Source organism: Homo sapiens, chromosome 4 (assembly GCF_000001405.40).
Source record: "Homo sapiens chromosome 4, GRCh38.p14 Primary Assembly".
In the NCBI taxonomy this organism is placed as follows: Eukaryota; Metazoa; Chordata; class Mammalia; order Primates; family Hominidae; genus Homo; species Homo sapiens.
The window spans coordinates 81,373,754-81,376,141 of record NC_000004.12 but is presented as its reverse complement, the minus strand read 5'-3'; the positions used below and the strand labels follow the sequence as shown (position 1 = coordinate 81,376,141).

The 2,388-nt window shown below is 46.3% G+C and overlaps 1 annotated feature.

Moving 5' to 3' along the window:
* Window positions 354–853: an enhancer, noted in NCBI's record as "H3K27ac hESC enhancer chr4:82296443-82296942 (GRCh37/hg19 assembly coordinates)". NCBI's record gives its function as "activates a minimal SCP1, AML or CMV promoter by ChIP-STARR-seq in naive H9 embryonic stem cells {active_cell/tissue: H9 hESC(naive)}" and the evidence as "EXISTENCE:reporter gene assay evidence [ECO:0000049][PMID:30033119]".

Below are 2,388 nucleotides of genomic sequence, written 5' to 3'. Positions count from 1 at the left end.
GAAAAGCAGTCTTTGATCACCAGTGCCATTCCTCTCACATCCCCTGGCAGTGGCTGCATGTCATGGTGAATCTGTGTGCTTGAGGCGGGGAGGGCACAGCGATTGTGGGACCCTGCATTGAATCCAGTGCTGCCCTGTCACAGTGGAAAACAAAACTGCACTAAACTCAACCCACACCCACCCACAGAGGGAGCACTTTGACCAGCCCTAGCCGGAGGGAAGTTGCACATCCTAGTGGTCAGAACTTGAGTTCCAGCAAGCTTTGCCAGGGTGGGCTAACATGCTCTGGGGTCCTAAATAAACTTGAAAGGTGGTATGGCTACAAGCACGGCAATTCCTAGGCAAGTCCTAGTACTGTGCTGGGCTCAAAGACAGTGGATGTGGACAACAACTGGGGTGGCCAAGGAAGTGCTTATGTCACCTTCCCTCAACCTCCTTCTGTTTAAGGAGAGGAGAGGGAAGAGGAAAGAGGATTTTGTCTTGCTTCTTGGATACAAGATCAGCCACAGCAGGATAGGGCACTGGGAAGAGTTTTGAGGACCCCATCCCGGTTCCTAGCTCTGAGGTAACATATCTAGAACACCCTGGGCGAAAACAGAACCTGCTGCCTTGAAAGGAGGGCTCCAGTCCTGGCAGTGTTCATCACCTGCTGACTAAAGAGCCCTTGGGCCCTGAAAAGCCATCACCAATCACAAGGTAATATGCTATGGGCCTTGGTTGGCACTCTGAGATGTGCTGGCTCCAGGTACCAGCTCAGCCACAATGCAGTAGGGCACCAAATGGGCTCTTGGGGTCCCTGATTCCAGGCCTTGGCTATTGGACAGCATTTCTGGACCTTCCCTGGGCCCAGAGAATGCCCACTACGCTGAAGGATGAGTCCCAGGCCTGGCAGCATTCACCATAAGCTGACTAAAGAGCCCTTGGGCATTAAGGGAACATCAGCAGTAGCCTGGCAGTACCCGCTGTGGGTCTGTGGTGGTGGTGATGGCCATGGTGGGGGGCCCCTCTGCCTATGAAAAAGGGAGGGAAGAGTGGGAAGGACCTTGTCTCATGGCTTGAGTGCCAGCTTCACTGCAATAGAATAGAGTACCAGGTAGATTCCTGGGGTTTTTGACTCCAGTCTCTGGCTCCTGGATGGCATCTTTGGACCTGTCCAGGGCTTGGGGAATCTTGACATTCTGAAGGGAAGAACACAGCCTGGCTGGCTCAGCCACCTACCGATTATAGAGCCCAAGGGCTTTAAGCGAACATAGGTGGTAGCCAGGTAGCGGTTACACTGGGCCTTGGGTGAGACCCGGTGCTATGCTGGCTTCAGGTCTGACTCAGTGCATTCCCAGTGCTGGTGGACACAGGAGTGCTTGTGTCCTCCTAGTCCCAGCTCCAGGTGGCTCAGTGCAGAGAGACTCTGCTTGTTTGCAAGAAATTAAGGGAAGAGAACAAGAGTCTCTGCCTGGTAAACCAAAGAATTCTCTTGTATCTTATCCAAGACCACCAAGATGGTACCTATATAAGTCTGCAGAAACCACAGCATTACTAGGCTTGGAGTTCCTCTAATGCAGATACAGGTTAGATCACAACACCTAAGACTCTTTGAATACCTGGAAAGCCTTCCCAAGAAAGATGGGTACAAACAAGCCCAGACTGTGAAGACTGCAATGAATTCCTAACTTTTCAATGTCCAGACACTGAGGAACATCTACAAGCATTAATAACATCCAGGAAAACATGACCTCACCAAATGAACTAAATAAGGCACAAGGGATCAATACTGGAGAAACAGAGATATGTGAGCTTTCAGGCAGAGAATTCGAAACACCTGCTTTGAGGAAACTCAAGGAAATTCAAGATAACAGAGAAGGAATTCAGAATTCTATCAAGTAAATTTAACAAGGAGATTGAAATAATTAAAAAGAATCAAGCAGAAACTCTGGACTTGAAAAATGGAGTGAACATACTGAAGAATGCATCAGAGTCTCCTAATAGTAGAATTAAAAAGCAGAAGAAAGGATTAGTGAGATTGAAGATAAACTATTTGAAAATACACAGTCAGAGGAGACAAAAAAATTAAAAAGAATAGAAAAGAATGAAGCATGCCTACAAGATCTAGAAACAGCCTCAAAAGGGCAAATCTAAGAGTTATTAACCTTAAAGAGGAAGTAGAGAAAGATATAGGGGTAGAAAGTTTATTCAATTGATAATAACAGAGAACTTCCCAAACCTAGAGAAATATATCAATATTGAAGTACAAGAAGGTTATAGAACACCAGGAGATTTAACCCAAAGAAGACTATTTCAAATCATTTAATAATCAAACTCCCAAAGGTCAAAGGTAAAGAAAGGAACCTAAAAGTAGTAAGAGAAAATAAATAAATAACATACAATGGAGCT